General features: G+C 46.6%; 1 protein-coding gene and 1 non-coding gene across 2 annotated transcripts; both read right to left on the bottom strand.

Annotated features, from left to right (window-relative positions):
• Positions 1-3,367: 3,367 nt before the first annotated feature.
• On the bottom strand, positions 3,368-3,429 carry LOC124903782 (U7 small nuclear RNA). The gene has a single exon (XR_007065225.1). It is a non-coding gene; the product is annotated as a U7 small nuclear RNA (small nuclear RNA).
• Positions 3,430-8,872: 5,443 nt separating this feature from the next.
• On the bottom strand, positions 8,873-12,757 carry MT4 (metallothionein 4). Its single transcript, NM_032935.3, has 3 exons — positions 12,671-12,757; positions 10,014-10,079; positions 8,873-8,989 (listed from the first exon to the last, which is right to left on the bottom strand). Exons 1-3 carry the CDS (start codon positions 12,699-12,701, stop codon positions 8,898-8,900), a joined length of 189 nt encoding a protein of 62 aa, NP_116324.2. The 5' UTR covers positions 12,702-12,757; the 3' UTR covers positions 8,873-8,897.
• Positions 12,758-18,906: the final 6,149 nt, after the last annotated feature.

The raw sequence follows: 18,906 nt of genomic DNA, 5'->3' as shown, positions 1-18,906 counted from the left end.
ATAAATATTTTGACAATTGAGATGGAGTCTTGTTATGTTGCCCAGGCTGGTCTTGAACTCCTGGGCTCAAGCGATCCTCCCACCTCGGCCTCCCAAAGTGCTGGGATTGCAGGCATGAGCCACCATGCCTGGCCAATTTTTGTATTTTTTGTAGGGATGGGGCTCTGTTGCCCAGACTGGTCTCAAACTCCCTGGGCTCAAACGATCCACCTGCCTTGGCCTCCCAAAGTGCTGGATTACAGGCGTGAGCCACTGTGCCCAGCCTTCTTTTTCCTTCTTTTCTGAATTTGTGGTGAACTCCTTAGAATAGGTTTCTAGAAGTAAAACGACGGGGTCAAGCAAGAAGAATGTTTTTATGGTTCTTTGATGTGCTCATATTGCCAAATTATTTTAAAAGCCCATGCCTTGTGAATCTGGGTGATTTGCACGTTGTTATGGCCTGGTGAGCCCTTGGAGAGCTTGTCCTGATTTGTCCTCCCAGCAGCCATGTCTGAAGGTCCCAGGACTTTTCTAGGCTCTCTTGGGCCCCAACAGCAGCCAGAGTGAAGTGAGAACATCCGCCCTCAAAACGCAGATGATTCCTGCTGCCCCGTCTCTGGGCCTGGAGCGCCCCCTACAGCCCACCTGAGGACTTTGCCTTCCTGTCCTGTGATCTGGGCTCCTCCTCCCTCCTCACCACACCCTCTTCTGGCCTCCACCCCAGTCCAGGTATGGCCTGAGCAGGTGCAGAGTGGGTCACAGCCTTTCTGAGGTTGCCATTGTGCCTTAGGCAGTACAGGAACACAAGCCATGACGTGTCAGCCTCCTGACACAGCACTTTCCTGCTCTAGGCTGCTCTGACATGAGAGAGCTCTTCTTTTTCTTGACCTAAAATCTGTTTCCTTGGTGTTTCCTCTTAATGCTCAAGTGTTATCCCTCAGGGCCACACGTAGCCGCTCTGCTCACTTATCCCTGTGGCCTTTCTTCCCCTCCATCTCACCTTCCCTCATGGCCTTCAAGCTTCTCTACCAGCTAGTTCTGCTTGAGCTTGGGACAAGGTCTCTCACTTCCTTGAGTCTCAGTTTTCCTCACCTGTGGAATGGACAATAATCTCTATCCTGCAGAGTTATTGTAAAGATTCAAAATCCTACCAATGAAAAGTCTGGCTCAGATTTTTGGCTAAAGATGAGAGGCCGAGCACATGGATTTTCCTCTCCTCCTCCTGAGTATACACTGAAAGAAAGTAAGGAAGGATAAAGAGGAAAAAAGAAAAACCAATAAAAGAGCTGTGTTGGGGGAGATGGCTTGGACAGTACATCAAGAGATCAGAGATTTTACCATTTCTGGAATACTGGAATGAGTTAAATCACATTTATGGGTAAATGGGAGTAGAGAAAGCCACAGCTCAAATCAAGAAGTGCGGAAGTCTATAGGAGATTTTGGGGTGCTTTGTTTTATTTTGGTGGGGTGAGGTGAGGCTAAGAAAGCAGAAGAGGAAGGAGGAGTAAAAACCAAGATGGCAGCTAATGGAAGGTCTGGCTGTAGAACTGACATGTGTTTGTCACACTTACCTCCTGTACCCTAGTTTGGGCAGCCCCACCATTTTCCCCCGGTCTGAGACTGCAAGATTTTCTCTGAAGAAATCGAATAACCAGCCTAGGAGGAGCCAGGGCTTCCAGAGGTGGGTCAACTCCACAGAAGATGACCCTTCTTGTTTTGACCCCAAGGGGTGGCCAAACTTGGCTACCATCTCCCCACCTGGGCATGCTAAAACCAAGCTTGCCAGTCAGCAAACTCCACTCACCCACAGAGTCTGCTTTCAGCTCAAAGAAGCAGAAATAATTCAAGGAAAACTTAACAATATATTATCCCTAGGTCAGAGTATAAAATCTGGCTTATAATAGGAATTTAATAAATATTTGTTTGGACCTCCAAAAAAAGAGAAAACAATAAGAAATTAAAACCGTTTAACTCATCAGAGTGATTCAAGAAATAACTCCAGGCTGGGTGCGGTGGCTCAGGCTTGTAATCCCAACACTTTGGGAGGCAGAGGCGGGTGGATCATCTGAGGTCGGGAGTTCGAGACCAGCCTGACCAACATGGAGAAACCCCGTCTTTACTAAAAAAGAAATGCAAAATTAGCCAGGAGTGGTGGCACATGCCTGTAGTCCCAGCTGCTCGGGAGGCTGAGGCAGGAGAATCGCTTGAAACCAGGAGGCGGAGGTTTCAGTGAGCCAAGATCGCACCATTGCACTCCAGCCTGAGCAACAAGAACAACACTCTGTCTCAAAACAAAAACAAAAACAAAAACAAAAACTCCACTCATAAAATAAAAACAGAATATTATGATGAAGAGACATTCAAAGAAGAAGAGGCCCTTATATATTTAAGTATAGTTGACAAAATTTTTAAACATCAGTGAAAGTACTACAAAAAGTACTTTTCTAATGTCCCACTTAAAGAGGTGAAAGAGAGAGAGACACATACACACAGAAAGACAGAAATAGATGCATACTAAAGGAAAATATTTTGAGACATAGAGGATTGATCCAGGAAAACCAGTAACCACTGATAGGAGTTTTGGAAGAGAAAATGGAATGGAGGGGTGAAAATTACTAAAGAAATAATCGTTTTCCAAGACTTTAGGGGGAAAAAGTCAGTCTTCAGAATGAAAAGGCCTAGCAAACACAGAGCAGGTTGAATGAAAAAAAGAACATTCAAATTTGGACCCATACTACATATCCTAGAGTGCCAATGATAAGTTAAACACCCAAAAGCTTCCAGTGAGAAATAAAAGGCGGGTAATGTTGGTGTTCACAACAGCAACACTGACTCTCAGAAGACATGGAGCAATGCCTTCAAAAGTGCTAAGAGAAAATGATATTGAACTTAAACTGATATCCAATCAAACTGTCAGTAAGGCATGAGAGAAAAATAAAGATATTTTCTGACATTTAGGGACTCTGAAGTTTCTCCTAATTCATCCTTTTGGTAAAAAATTGCTTGAGGATGTACTCCAGCAAAATGAAAAGGAGTCCAAAATAGAGCATGATAGGGGAATCCAAGAAGCAATGGTTCTAAACTAGGAGAGCAATGAAAATACATCTCAGAATGACAGTTGTATAGCAGATCTGGAAACAAGTCAGTGAATATTAGATCACTCAACAAATAGCGTGATTAAAAATGGAATTATCTTAATGATAGAGTAAAAAAGACATATCTGCCCATGTGCCTATACAAGGGGGAAAAAAGACAGTTGAAATGCCAGGAAAAACATAAAAGTCCCGTAAGGAAATAATAGTCCAAATTGTAAGCAAACTAAAATGTGACCTGATTCTGAGCAAGTCTCAGAAGAGAATATTCTTCTTTCTTTTATTTCTATTTTTTTATGGGTTTTCTGGTGAGAAGCAGAAAATCTGCTAGACAAATTCTGAAAGACCTTAACTTCTTTCTCTAAGCGGCCCACGTTTATTGAGTTACATATTCTTCTTTGTGGATCCATTTATCCTTGGCTCTCCAGTAAACAGTACTTACATAATCATAATATTGTAAAAATGATTTATTAATTTTTTTATTATTATTTTTTAGAGACAGGCTCTTACTGCGTCAGGCTGGAGTGCAGTGGCATGATCATAGCTTGCTACAGCCTCAAACTCCTAGGCTCAAGCGATCCTCTTGCCTTAGCCTCCCAAAGTGCTGAGATTACAGGCATGAGCCACCACATCTGGCTTTAAAATTTTATTTGACATTTTATTTCAAATTTTATTTTATTCCAAATTTCATAACAACTTAAGAGACAGAGCATGGAAGACTTACTCATGTTTGTACAATATATCAGATTGCTTTTAGCTGAACAGTGGCTGAAACCCTAAATAGGGGTTTATTTTTCTACTGTTATGAGGCAGCCGAAGTGGTCATCCCAGAGATGCACGTGCTTAAGAAAGCCGCCAAGATCATCTACGTTTCTCCATCCAGCTTCAATGTCCTGTATTATTTAATTTCTTTCTTTCTTTCTCTTTCTTCCTTTTTTTTTTTTTGAGACGGAGTTTCACTCTTGTCGCTATGACTGGAGTGCAATGGCGAGATCTCAGCTCACTGCAACCTCTGCCTTCCAGGTTCAAGCGATTCTCCTGCCTCAGCCTCCTGAGTAGCTGGGATTACAGGCACGTGCCACCATGCCCAGCTAAGCTTTGTATTTTTGTAGAGACAGGGTTTCACCATGTTGCCCAGGCTGGTCTTGAGCTCCTGATCTCAAGTGATGCGCCAACCTTGGCCTCCCAAGGTGCTGGGATTACAGGCATGCACCACCATGCCCAGCTAATTTTTATATTATTAGTAGAGATGGGGTTTCACCATGTTGGCCAGGCTGGTATTCAATTCCTGACCTCAGGTGATCTGCCCACCTTGACCTCCCAAACTGCTGGGATTACCGGCTTGAGCCACCACGCCTGGCCTATTTAATTTCTTAAGGATTTAATGAAATTTTATTAAATATTTTTATTAAAATAAAATGATTCATTGTTCTAGAACTTGATGTTCATCCAGTTGAAATATTTAAAAATTCTATCTACATATAGAAAGGTATAGCTCACATATTTATGTATGTCTTAGTCAATTCAGGCTGCTATAACAGAATGCTATAGACTAGGTGGCTTAAGCAACAGAAATTTATTTCTCATGGTTCTGGAGGTTGGAAAATCCAAGATCAAGGCACAGACATATCTGGTGTCTGGTGAGAGCCCACTTTCTTGTTTATAGGTGGCCGTTTTCTGTTTGTATCCTCACATACAGTGAAAAGAAAGACAGAGAGATCACTTCATGCCTCTTTTTTTTTTTTTTTTTTTGAGACAGGGTCTCACTCTATTGCCCAGCCTGGAGTGCAGTGGCAAAAACACAGCTCACTGCAACCTCCTCCTCTGCCTCCTGGACTTAAGCAATCCTTCCACCCCAGCCTCCTGAGTAGCTGAGACTACAGGTGTGTGCCACCATGCCTGGCTAATTTTTGTATTTTTTTTAGAGATTTTTTAGAGATGTTGCCCAGGCTGGTCCCGAACTCCTGGGCTCAAGCAATCTGCCTGCCTTGGCCTTCCAAAGTGCTGAGATTATAAGCATGAGCCACTGGGCCTGGCCCATCTCTTCTTATAAGGGCACTGATTCTATTCATGAGGACTCTGCCTTACAACCTAATTACCTCCTAAAAGCCCCTCCTCCAAATACCATCACATTGGGGATTTAGGCTTCAACATACGAATTTTGAGGGCACACAGACATTCAGTCCATAGTATGTATATCTGTATATTTATCTGTAGCTATAGCTCTATCTACACCAATTTAAGAGTAATATGAATTTATATGAATAATATGAATTGCTTAATATTACAAAACATTCCTCAGTTGCCTTGTGCAGCTTCTGCAATTAGCATAAAATCATAAATATTCTGGAAACACAAATTGGAACACAAAGAAAAGCAAGAAAATGGACAAGTCACACTCATGGGAAATGATGGTGTGACATGAGAGTCTGTTGCGTTCATGCTTTTTGAGGAGGATTTGATGAGTTTGTTAATTTGTCTTTTTTCTAATTTCTACACTTAAATCCTCCCTGTACTTTGAAGACTGTGTCTATCTCTGACATCAGCATTGGGACAATCTATAAAACCATCCTGCCATTCAAATATCGTCACTCTTTGTTTTGAGGACACAGAGCAAGAGATGGAGAAGTGTTTCCCCAGGGCCTGAACAGTGTTAGTAACCAGAGAAGATGTTTAGGATTACTTGATCACACTGTAACGGCAAATACAAGATCCTGAGTGACAGGGGCCCCAAGTATTATTTAATATGGGCTTCCCCAAATCCCTGACTGCAGTACTGCTCTGTGACCTGTTAGGAACCAGGCCGCGGGGCAAGTGAATGTTACCGTCTGAGCTCTGCCTCCTGTCAGATCAGAAGTGGCATTGGAATTCCATTGGAATGAGAACCTTATTGTGAACTGCACGTGCGAGGAATCTAGGTTTGAGCTACTTATCAGAATCTAACTACAGTTTCATCCGAAAACCATCTCGCGCTGCCCCACTGCACTGTCCGTGGAAAAGTTGTCTTCCACCGAAACTGGTCCCTGGTGCCAAAAAGGTCGGGGGCCGCTGCCTTAACACATTTGTGTGCTTGTGGTGTGTGTGCTCTCTAAAGTACAAGGCCCCAGGCAAAGACTCTTCGCCCCTGGGTCTGGGGCAGCATTGCCTGCAGCCTCCTCTCTGCCTCATCCATATCGCATAGACAAGAGCATGGCCTCTGGGTCAGGCAGACCTGAGCTCAGTTCCCAGTTCTGCCCCCTGGAAGTCTTGTGACTTTCAGCCATTGACTTTCCTGGAGCCTCAGCATCTCCATCTGCAAAGTGGGGGATCTAACAGGATCCTATTATGTAACAGGATTGTCTTCTAGGGTTGTTAGTGCAGGCCTGCCCCTAACACTTGCAGAGCCTGGGGCAAAAGCAAGAATGGAGGCCTAGGTGCACTTCACCCCCTGCTCTTCCCACACTGACTTCTCCACTCTATGTAGACATAAAAACTCATGTGTCCAATCTCTATTCACACATCCTCCCGTCTCTGAATACCTCTACCCTTGGCCATCGTTCGGGCCCAGGAGTGTACAGACTGATGACATGGTGCACCTTAGGGAAGGACAGACTGCTGGGAGAGGGGGCCTACGCAGACCCTAGAACTAGCCTTTGGGGTCCCAGGTACCCAAAGCATTGTCTAGATGGTGCTAGATGGGGGACTTGGGGGAGGAATGAGCATGAGTTCTAGTTGGACAGATCTCGTGGGACCCTCGGACTCCTCTCCTGTGGGGACAGGAAGACCAGGTCCTCTAAGGCAGAGGGCCCAGAGCAGGGCCCTGGTTGTCTGGCTCTGAAGTGGTCCTGATAGTGCAGAGTCCATGAAATGATGTTTATAAACTGCTTAGGACAATGCTTGGCACTTATTAGGTGTTGAATCCATATTAAGTGCTCAATAACTATTAGTTGTTAATATTATTATTATTAATATAAGAATCTGAAGGCTGAATCTCCTTTTCAAGGTTGTGATGGGAGTAAGTGAGATCGTGCAGAAGTACCAACTCTAAAGGCATTTGGATGAGATGAGTTGGCATCCCAGTGGGTACCGAGGCCGAGGTTGCAGGGTGAGTGTCCAACCTGCTTGCTGGAGGCACAAGGGACTGTTCTGTCCGCTGGAAGGTATAATCCCTTGCGTTGTGTCCTTCTCAAGGTGCTTAAGAGCTCTGCAATGACAGAGAATGGCTTGGTAGGGGCCTTTTCAGAGATCAATAAACAGAAGGCTAGGACAGGCTGTAGCTCTGCTAAAATCTATGTTAATGGGGCACTGCTATGTGCACAGATTCTGTGCTACAGTTTCTCTCTACAACTCTGTGAAGGAGACGCATTTCACAGATTAGGAAACTGAGCCTCAAAAGGTTAAATGACTTGGTCAAGGTCATGTTGCCAGGGAGGGGTAGAGTGTCTGACTCCCAGGGCCAAGCTGTTTCCACTGCACTATGATTCTGTGTCTAAGGCACAACTCATGGACAGAGGGTGAAAATCTTCCTAGGGAAGCCCCAGCTAAGTTCCAAACAGGGATAATGACAGTGTGGATTATGAAAGTGATCAGTTCCAGGAAGCATGCAGTAAATCCTGCTAGCTGAGCCCAGCCCAACCTGGGGCTGCTCTGTGACCTTGGCAAAGGCTCTATTCTCACCCACTCCTGTATCTGATGGTTGCTTGACAGAGGCTGGTGGAGGAGGAGGCCGCTCTGGTCTCTGATGGGCCCTAGTTCAGGCCCTTGATGGCATGAATGAAAATGATCTCAGAGCTTGGGTTTGTCTTCAGCTGTGTTGAGGATGGTGGTGTGGGTGAGAGCTGGGGATCACCCCCAGTCCCCAGTGCCAACCTCCAGGGACTTCAGCTTTCTCAGCTGTTTAGCCAAAAAGTCATCTCCTAGGGGGTCTGCTTAGGATGCTGTTTCTGCACCTCCACCACCATCTTCTTCCTGGTTCATGCCTTCCAGGTCATCCAGTCCTAAAGACTGATCCAAATAACCAAACCAGGGCAGCTAATGCCCTCAATGTCTTGACCTTGGAGATTTCCTTTAGATACACACAGCCTCCGTTCATGACTGATTCCATGCTCAAGCCCATTAAACAGCCACATTTGCACAATGAGGCATTCTGGGCTATGCCAGGAGAGCCTGGCCAAGATTAGGTTACCCAGAAAGCGGACCCTGTACAAGTAGTTTCTTTGGGTGGAGATCCCAGAAAGCAATGGTGGGGAACTGGGGAGGTGAGGCAAGGAAGGAGGCCACCGTAGGTTACATTAATGAGCAGGTTACTGCTGTGAGCTTTTGAAGCTCAGTGCTTCTAGAGACTTCTGGGAGACAGCATAGAATGAGTCTCAGAGTTGTTCCTTTTGAGGGGTAAAGATGCTGGGATATTTACCCACCGACCTACAGTTGTCATTGGCTAAGGGCTGTTCCCAGTGACTTTAGCTCCTCCGTACTCCTGGCCTGCCCTGTGCATGGGTCAAGCAAGCTTGTGCAGGAGGAGAAAGCCCCCAGGCAGAGTCATAGGACCTTGCAGTAGGCAGCCACCTGTCACAGGTACATGTGGGTGGTGGTTACAGGATCTGCAACAGAAGCAGCACCTTTTGGTCCTGCTGGGTTAGGGTAAAACAATGCTCTGAGCCACCAGGCAACCAAGAGTGAAAACTTTATTGCCCCAAGTACTTTACATGAATGTGACCAACACCACATTTGGGCAAATATATAAAAAGCACAACCTATTGTACAATTATTCCACCTTCTCGATTCATGCACTGTACAGACACTTCCCAGGTTTCTCTCCTTGGAAGGGGTGGGCACGATGGATGGCTTTCATGGGCAGCAGCTGCACTTGTCTGAGCCTCCTTTGCAGATGCAGCCCCGGGCACATTTGGCACAGCCCGGGGGGCAGCAGGGACAGCAGCCTGAAAGAGTCAGGAGATGCGCAGATCCGCTGTGGGTCAACACTTCCATCTCACCACTGCCCCTCCCACTACTTAGAGGAAGTAGGAAAAGAGGGGTGTGTGCATGAGGTTTCAATCCACATTAGCAAAAATGCTGAGATAGGAGGTTGAGGCATGTTAGAACTGGAAGGGATCCCAGGGACCATCTAGAGTCCATCAGAAGCCCACAGAAGGGAGGGGGTTTGCCAAGGTCATGAGACAGTGGCAAAAGCAAGACTAGAACCTAGGGCTCATGACTCCAGGCCAGTGCTCTATCCCTGTTACCACTGGGCAGGACAGAACTTCCCCTCAGTCCTCTTCCTGCTCCAAACACTGTGGATGCCCTTATCCCTGGGTAGAGACCTGCCATAGGTCTCTACATAGTTCTCATTTCAGATCTCTCCCAGATGGGTAAAAGGCATCTAGACCCCCTCCCCACAAGCCCCAATCCACCATGGCTGGAGGATTGAGGGTGGGGATGGGATCTTTCTTTCTTTCTTTCTTTCTTTCTTTCTTTCTTTCTTTCTTTCTTTCTTTCTTTCTTTCTTTCTCTCTCTCTCTCTCTTTCTTTCTTTCTTTCTTTCTTTCTTTCTTTCTTTCTTTCTTTCTCTCTCTCTCTCTCTCTTCCTTCCTTCCTTCCTTCCTTTCTTCCTTCCTTCCTTTTCTTTTTTGACTGAGTTTCACTCTTGTCACCAAGGCTGGAGTGCAATGGTGTGATCTCTGCTCACTGCAACCTCTGCCTCCTGGGTTCAAGCAATTCTCCTGCCTCAGCCTCCTGAGTAGCTGGGATTACAGGTGCCCACCACCATGCCCAGCTAATTATTGTATTTTTAGTAGAGATGGGGTTTCACCATGTTGGCCAGGCTGGTCTTGAACTCCTGACCTCAGGTAATCCACCCGCCTCGGCCTCCCAAAGTGCTGGGATTACAGACGTGAGCCACTGCACCTGGCCTGGATTGGACTTTTCTAACTCCCAGCCCATGGTGCCCCCAGTCACCATACTCACTCTTCCAATATGTTTTACAGTTGCAGGTTGTGCATTTGCAGTTGTCTCCACACATGCAGATTCCTCCTAGAAGACAGGACAGAGCCACCACAAACGTGAGGATGGAGATGGAGTGGGGAACATAAGGCATGATGCCGACTGTCAGAGTGGCAAGGCTCCTGGGCTATATCCTTGGGGACTGGCTGGACAAGAGGGTGACAAGGCTGCTGAGCATCGACCCAGTGTCAAGGACTCTGCAATAGTCCACAGTCACAGGCCATGGATGGGAACTGGCATGGCTGCATCAATCATGCCTGGGATAACTGTGAAAATGCAGATTCCTGGGACCAACCCTTGAGATGTTCTGATTCATAAGTCTTGGTGGGGAAATGGAGTCCATATTTTTGAAAAGCAACCCAAATAATTCTTATGTACAATGAGAACCAACAGACGAGGCCAGCGTTTCCAAGCCCAAGGTTCCTCTAAGAACTATCAAAGCCTTTCACACCCTCTTGGCTAGGCACAGTGGCTCACGTCTGTAATCCCAGCACTTTGGGAGGCCAAGACAGGTGAATCACATGAGGCCTGGAGTTTGAGATCAGCTTGGCCAACATGGAGAAACCCCATCTCTACGAGAAAAAAAAAAATTAGCCAGGCGTGGTGGCACACACCTGTAATCTCAGCTACTAGGGAGGCTGAGACACGAGAATCTCTTGAACTTGGGAGATGGAGGTTGCAGTGAGCCGAGATCACACCTCTGCACTCCAGCCTGGGTGATGGAGTGAGACTCTGCCTTAAAACAAACAAACAAACAAAAACCCCTTTCACACCCGTGTCACCTTCACAAGTCAAGATGAAAACTGTGAATGGTTTAAGAAAGGTCAAGGAACGTCAGTGAACTCAAAACAAGAGCCACAGAGCCACACCTTGTTTTGTTTGTTTCTTCCTTTCCTTTCTTCCTTCCTTCCTCTCTCCCTCATTTCTTTCTTTCTTTCTTTCTTTCTTTCTTTCTTTCTTTTCTTTCTTTCTTTCTTTCTTTCTTTCTTTCTTTCTTTCTTTCTTTCTTTCCTTCCTTCCTTCCTTCCTTCCTTCTTTCTTTCTTTCTTTCTTTCTTTCTTTCTTTCTTTCTTTCTTTCTCTTTCTTTCTTTCTTTTCTTTTTCTCTTTCTCCCTGTCTTTCTCTCTCTTTTCTCTTTCTCTCTCTCTCTCCCCCTTTCTCCCTTTCTCTTTCTCTCTTTCTCTCTCTCTCTCTTCCTTTCTCCCTTTCTCCCTTTCTCTCTCCTTGTTTCTTTCCTTCTTTCCTTCTTTCCTTCCGTTCTTTCTTCCTTTCTTTTGACAGGGTCTTGCCCTGTCACCCAGGCTGGAGCACCATGGTGGGAACACAGCTCACTGTAGCCTCAAGCTCTTGCCTCAGCTTCCTGAGTAGCTGGGACCACAGGCACGCACCACCACACCTGGCTAATTGTTTAAAGTTTTTGTAGAAACAGGGCCTTGTTATATTGCCCAGGCTGGTCTCAAATTCCTTGGGCATAAGTGATCATCCTGCCTTGGACTCCCCAAGTGCCAGGATTACAGATGGGAGCCAGCACCTTGTTTTTATATCATAATGATCATCTACACTTAAAAAAATTATCCCATTTTTCATTTTGAGTTTCAAAATGCTGGAAGCTTCTGCCTCTTTTGCAAGTTTTTGGTACAGAGACATCCTGTTAAGGACAAGGGAGTCTTGTGAGACTTCATTTTCTTTCTTTCTTTTTCTTTTCTTCTTTTTTTTTGAGAAAGGGTCTTGCTCTATTACCTAGGCTGGAGTGCAGTGGTGCATTCCTAGTTTGCTGCAGCCTCGAACTCCTGGGCTCAAGTGATCCTCCCTTCTCAGCGTCCTGAGTAGCTGGGACTAAGGTGCACCCTACTACGCCCAGCTAAGTTTAAAAAAAATTTGTAGACATGGAGTCTCGCTATGTTGCCCAGGCTGGTATTGAACTCCTGGCCTCAAGTGATTCTCCTGCCTCAGCCTCAAAGTGCTGGGACTACAGTTGTGAGCCACACCACCCAGACTTGTGAGACTTCTTCATACCATTTCCATGATTGTAAAAGCCCAGGATGGCTTTGAACCCTGATTTCTCTCCTTCTGGCTAACATGCTCCGTGGAATTAAGCAGTTTCAGAGACTCAAGAGTCCACATAAGTTAGGGGAGTCCACAACTCCCCTGACATCTGCAGGTGCTTAATGGTTTTAGCACTTTCATAGCAGCTCTGGGATGTGGTTGGCTGGGAATAAGGAACCTCAGTCTACAGGTGAGGAAACTGAGGACCAGAAAGAATAAGCGCCAGGGAGGGGACCGCAGCAATGGACCCAAACCAGGTTGCCAGATTCTGGTTTAGAGCTCTTCTCCTCACCCTGGTGACTGCCCTTAGGGGCCAACGCTAGAAAGACCAAAGTTTGCAAGTCCCCCTCTCAGCCATTCCCTGAGCTAGGATATCGATTCTAGAAAATCAGGCTGGGAGCCAACAGAGAGTGGGAGCTGCCCCAGAGGTGGCCAGTCCACCTGTCGGCTCCCAGGACGAACCCCATTGGTGGCTCCTAATTAGAGGGAAGAGAAGTTTTCATCAGGGACCTGCAGGCTCCCTGTAGGAAGCTGGTCCAAGGTTCCCAGACCCCAGGGAGGGCTTCTTTACTCACCAGACATGCAGACACATTCCCTGGGGTCCATGGTCCAGGTGTCCGAAAGGCTCCAGTGCTGTCACGGCTGGGGAAGGGAGGCTGAGTGAGCAGCAGCCAGAGGCTCCCCATTTATAGCCATGTGGGTGTAGTCTGCAGCTCACCCCACCTCTCCCTGGGGCCAGACGCCCTGCACACGGCCCAGCCAGATGCCTTGGGCTGGGAGTTGGGAAGAGCAGGCGGAGGAGGGCAGAGGAGAGGCCGAGCAGTACGGTCATTTGGGTGGCTTTTCACCAGGGGTGCAGGTGGCTGCACCCACCTCACCTGCCCGCCTGGCAAGGTTTCAGGGAACCAGGCTCAGGCTGAAATGCACACATGGAGCTCAGGTTGGCAGCTACGTCCACCCTGTCTCCAAGTCCTATGCATTCTATTATCTGCCATTTCTGTTCCCTCCTTCACAGGGGCTCCTCCTGCCTCGGCTCGGGGCCTCATCCTATCTCCCTGGTTGACTGTAAAAGCCCTTACTATGGGCAGGCAGGGGCCTCTATCCTTGGCCCTGAGATTTAGAAGTTCCCACCAAGAACCTCTACTGACTGCACCCTCCCCATGAGTGAGAGGGTGGAAAATCAGGGAGTTGTGCCCATCCAGAACATGCAACCTTTCCTTCTAGACCACACACAAAGCAGAAGCAGCAAGAGGGGACTTGGGAGAGATTTAACCACCTCTTCATCTCCATTATAACCCCAATCTTTGGTATGGGCAGCTGACTACTTTTCAGTTTGTTTGTTTGTTTTGAGTTGGGGTTGCATTCTGTTGCCCAGGCTAGAGTGCAGTGGCACGATCTCGGCTCACTGCAACCTCTACCTCCCGGGTTCAAAGGATCCTCCTACCTCAGCCTCCTGAATAGCTGAAACCACAGGCACAAGCCCCCACACCTGGCTAATTTTTTTGTGTATTAGAGATGGGGTTCTGCCATGTTGCCCAGCCTGGTCTTGAACTCCTGAGCTCAAGTGATCTGCCCACCTCGGCCTTCCAAAGTGCTGGGATTACAGGCGTGAGCCATTGTGCCCGGCCTATCTTTCAGTCTTTTGTAAAGTGCCCTGTAGAGGATGCAGCTACTAGCTTCCCTGACAAGCTGCCATCCGTACCCAATCGCCATGGAGAAATTCTGGAGCTGGTGCTGATTATACTTCCTCCAGGAAGCTACCTCTGATCACTCCCTTTCTTAGTTGGGAGAAATCTCTCTCTCTGTATCCCTTGGCTGATGTGTCTGTACATTTCTCATGACATTTACTACTTGCTAAGCTGCTGTATGATTATTTGTCTTCATGGCTCTTACCTTTCTCGCCCCAATCTGGGAGCTCTCAGGTAAAAAAACTGTGCCTGAAGCATCTCTAAACCTGTTCAATGTTCTGCACAATGTTGGATGAATGGATGAATTAATCAGATGAGTAATCAAATGACTGAAGGCATGAGTGAGAGAGTGGATATATAAGTGAACAAATGACTAAGTGAGTGACGAGTGGACAAATGCATGTATCTCCTGCATGTGGCTCTACTGAGGACCTCTGCTGAAATATGCCGTTGCCATTCAGAAAGGCAAAAAACCGGCCTGGCCATAAACAGTGGAGATCATTCCTCCCAGTTCTCAGCTTGGTGGGGTCTCCATCATTCACCCATAAGGACCACCTGGGCCTCAGTCTGACCCATGGAACCACGGATTTTGGACTGAGAGCTTCTAACGAGGAGAAAGGGATTTGGATCCATGGTCATCAGCAGGTCACTGTGGCAGGCACTGGGGAGGGGAGGAGGGGGCAATACTGTAGTGATCCCCAAGTGGTGCCTCCCTTAAAGGAGTTCACAGCCTAGTAGGGGACATGTATTCATTTATCACCCTCCAAGGGCCAGGCACTGTGCTGGGCACTGGGGAGCCAATGATGAGTAAAAGTAGTTTATGGTTCAGAAGTTTGGGAGGACATCTCAGTCCAGGAGACCCATGACCAGGTGTGGCTGCTCCCAGAGTCTTGAAGCTGGATCCATCTTCCCGGGCTTGCACCCCCAGCCCAGTTCCGGCACATCTCTCGTGGCAGGCCCAGCCTCCTCCACCTCTTGGGCTGCCCTCCAGCAAGTATTAATGGTTTAGAGGGTCTGGCCTAACCAAGTGAGACCAGAGAGAGGAAGCGATTTCCCTTCACCCTTATTGAAGCCATCTTTCTCCCTCCTCTGCCTAGGCCAGGAATCGCTTTTTCCTTGGATGATGGACAGTGTGAAGTTGCTTAAGGCCCCAACTAAATGATAATATCAAAACCAGGCCAGATGTGGTGTCTCATATCTGTAATCCCAGCACCTTGGGAGGCTGAAGCGGAAGGATTGCTTGAGCCCAGGAGTTCAAGCTGCTTGACTTCTCTGAGTCTCAGTTTCCTGATCTGCAAAATCTAGCTCGTGCAAATGACAACCCTACAGCACTGTTGTTGTGGAGGTCAAATGAGAGAACATATATTAAGCACTGAGTTCAAAATCTGGCGCAACATTATTATCACCAACATTATTACTATTAATATGATTATCACAATCTGTGTCTAATACAAATTGGTAGTTTGGTTTGGCCACCCACCCATTTGTATGTTTCAGGCTCGTAGATCCCCACATGGTTCTGCAGTCCTGAGCAGGATGCATTCATCAGCCATAAATACTGTGGCGTTTTTAGTCTCGGGGCTCCCAGCTTTTACACTCAACTTAACTTTTGGGTCCCAGGGCCAAGAGAGCACGGGGCACTGTCCTTTCTGATTCTCTTTGCTGCAGTTTCTGTTTGTTTGGAGGCAAAGTTGACCTTTCACCTACAGAGGCCTCTCTTGGGGGTATTTCTGGCCTTATATATAGGATTAGGCAGGAGAGCGTGGGGGTAAAATCAGAGTGGGCAGAGTGGCCTGTGGGGCACCAGCTTGACTCCTAGATGATCAGCACTAGAAGAACCCTGATAAGTCGGAAGTCAGCCCCTTGTTGTCCAAATAGGAAAACAGGAGCCCAGAGAGATGGGGCCAAGCCCTGCCACTGAGCTTAGGTTGGTGACAGGGGATATTTGAATTTGACTTCTCAACTTGTTGCTGGCAGTCATGCCTTACGTCCGAAGCCCTCGTGACAGAATGGTTCAGCACATTAAAGCCTCTGTGGCTTTATAAGCTGTTTATTAATTAATTTTTTGTTAGAAAAAAGTTCAAAGATACTAAAAAGTACAAAGAAAAGTATTCCAAACACCACTGTATCTACCACCCAGAATTAACAGATGTTGACACTGCCCTATTTACTTCAGCTCTTTTAATTATAAGAAATAAAAATTTAACAGGGCTGAGGACGGTGGCTCATGCCTGTAATCCCAGCACTTGGGGAGGCCATGACGGCAGGATCACTTGAGCTCAAGAGTTCGAGACCACCCTGGCCAACATAGCAAGACGTTGTCTCTACTAAATAAAAAAAAAAAAAAAAAAAAAAAAAAAAAAGAAAAAAAGCCAGGTGTGATGGCGTGTGACTGTAGTCGTAGCTACTTGGGAGGCTGAGGTGAGAAGATTGCTTGAGCCCAGGAATTCAAGGCTGCAGTGAACTATGATTGCACCACTGCACTTCAGCCTGGGTGACAGAGCAAGGCTCTATCTCAAAAATAAATAACTAAATAAATAAATTAACAGGCTAATGGCTCTAAACACCACCTATGGGCTGGTTGCCCCCAACTTATGCTTTCAACCCAGCCTCTCTTCCGATCTCCAATCTCATAGCCTGGCTGCTACTCCACACCTCCATGTGAATGTCAAACAGCATCTCAAATTCCTCCTGTCCCCAACTGAGCTCCTGCTCCTGCTTACCTCCTGCTAGATCCTCCCACAGTCTTGTCTGCCTCCATGGCTGCCACCTGATTCCAGCCACCATCATCCCCCCTAGACTCAGCACTTGTTTCCTAATTGGCCTGCCCACCTCTGCCCTTTTTTCTGTCCTTTTTACCTCTCTCCAAACCCTCTAATTAGCCACACAACACTCAGAGTGATTCTATTAAAATAAAAGTTACAGCCAGGCATGGTGGCTCATGCCTGTAATCCCAGCATTTTGGGAGGCCGAGGTGGGTGGAACATGAGGTCAGGAGTTCGAGACCAGCCTGGCCAACATAGCGAAACCCCGTCTCTGCTAAAAACACAAAAATTAGCTGGGCATGGTGCCGTGTGCCTGTAGTCCCAGCTACTCTGGAGGCTGAGGCAGGAGAACCGCTTGAATCTTGGAGGCGGAAGTTGTGGTGAGCTGAGATCCTGCCACTGCACTCCAGCCTGGGCAACAGAGCGAGACTCTGTCTCAAAAAAAAGAAAAATAAAAGAAAAAAAAGTTACATTGTGTCACTGCTCTGCTCAGAATCCATTAGAAGCTTTCCATCTCACTCAGTAAACAAAAAAGCTCTTGGCCACCGGGTCAGCCCCTGTTCCCTCTCTGCCTTTGGCACTTCCCAGCCTCTCTGCCTGCTTAGTCCTTGAACTTGTCAATCATGCCTCAGCCCCAGGGCCTTTGCACATCTCTAAAACATCTTCCCCTAGATATCTGCTTGAGCTATCTGAAGATATTTTTCCTCTCCTTCAGGTGAGGTAATCTCTGGCCACCTTATCTAAAATGTCCACACTATGTGCATGGCATTTTGCTTTCTTTTTCCTCTTTGGTACTTATCACCATGAAACATACTATATATTTTGCTTATTTTCCTTGTTTATTGTCTGACTCCTTTTCCAAAATGTGAGCTTCACATGTGCAGGGATTTGGGTCTGTTTTGCTCACTGCCATACACTCAGTGTCCAGAAAAGTACCTGGAAAAAAGCAGGGGCTCAATTTGTTGAATGTAATATATTGAAGTTCCTTTTATATTTCTTCCCAGACTACTCCCCTCTCTCTCCAAAGGAAGCCAATGATAAAATTCATGTGTATTCTCCCCATTCTTGTTTTTATTATTTTCTTATATATGTGTATACATATATACAGTATTGCTTTATAGGTTTTTAAAAAGTACATAAGTGGTACCATAACATAAATATTGTTCCACAACTGTTTTTTCCTTCCATCATTATGGTTTTTTTGTTTTTTGCTTTTTTGAGGTGGAGTCTCGCTCTGTTGCCCAGGCTGGAGTGCAGTGGCGCAATCCCGGCTCGCTGCAACCTCCACCTCCCAGGTTCGAGCGATTCTCCTACTTCAGCCTCCCAAGTAGCTGGGATTACAGACTCCAGCCACCATGCCCAGTTAATTTTTGTATTTTTAGTAGAGACGGGGTTTCACCATGTTTGCCAGGCTTGTCTTGAATGCCTGACCTCAGGTGATCCGCCCGCTTCAGCCCCACAAAGTGCTGGGATTACAGGCGTGAGCCACCATGCCCAGCCCCATCATTATGTTTTTGAGATCTATCTATGCTGATGCCTGATTATAATATCATATTGTATGAATATGCCATATTTTACTTATCCATTCCCCTACTGACATTTAACTTGCTTCCACGTATCCTCTATTACAAAAATGCTGCAAGGAGTAGCCTCGTTCACGCCACGCAGATGAGTGTTCATTCCTCCCTAGAAGGATGGCTAGGTTGTATGGGGCAATTGATCTCCAAAGATCCTATGCCAATTTATGCTCCTTCTAGCAATTTCTGAGAGTCCCTATTTCCCCAGTACCTCCTCCGATACTTCCTTTATTCAGACTTTGAAAAGTGTGCCCATCTAATCAGTGTGAAGAAGTGCAATGGTATCTAACTGAGGTACAATGTGTGTGTTTCTGCCTCCCAGCTTCATCAACCATTAACATCTGGAGAGTGAGCCATGGTCCAGTCTTCCCCATGCTGACTGTGCGTATCTCGTCAGCCCTTCACTCCCTAGCAAGAGACAGCACAGTGAAGATCATGGGCTGCAGACCTTCAGACTTGGTTTTCATCCTGGCTCCTCTCTCTGTTTGCTGTACAACCTCAGACACGCCCCCTTGTCTCTGTGAACTTCAACTACAAAATGGGGATAAGTGGGTCTACTCATGAAGTTATGGTGAGAATTGAGAAAATAAAGGTCTGACGTTTAACACACCAAGTGTTCAAGGAATGGCAGATGATATTAAGGTTTCATGTTTATAGCGGAGGGATAAGGCAACTTGATATGGAGTCACATATATTTGGAGTTCAGCCCCAATGCTCTCAACAAGGCACATCACCTTTCTAAACACAGTGTGTCATCTTTAAAAGGAAGATGATTATAAAT

This window comes from Homo sapiens, chromosome 16 (assembly GCF_000001405.40).
Source record: "Homo sapiens chromosome 16, GRCh38.p14 Primary Assembly".
In the NCBI taxonomy this organism is placed as follows: domain Eukaryota; kingdom Metazoa; phylum Chordata; class Mammalia; order Primates; family Hominidae; genus Homo; species Homo sapiens.
The sequence above is the reverse complement of the archived record's forward strand: the minus strand, read 5'-3'. Positions and strand labels throughout refer to the sequence as shown.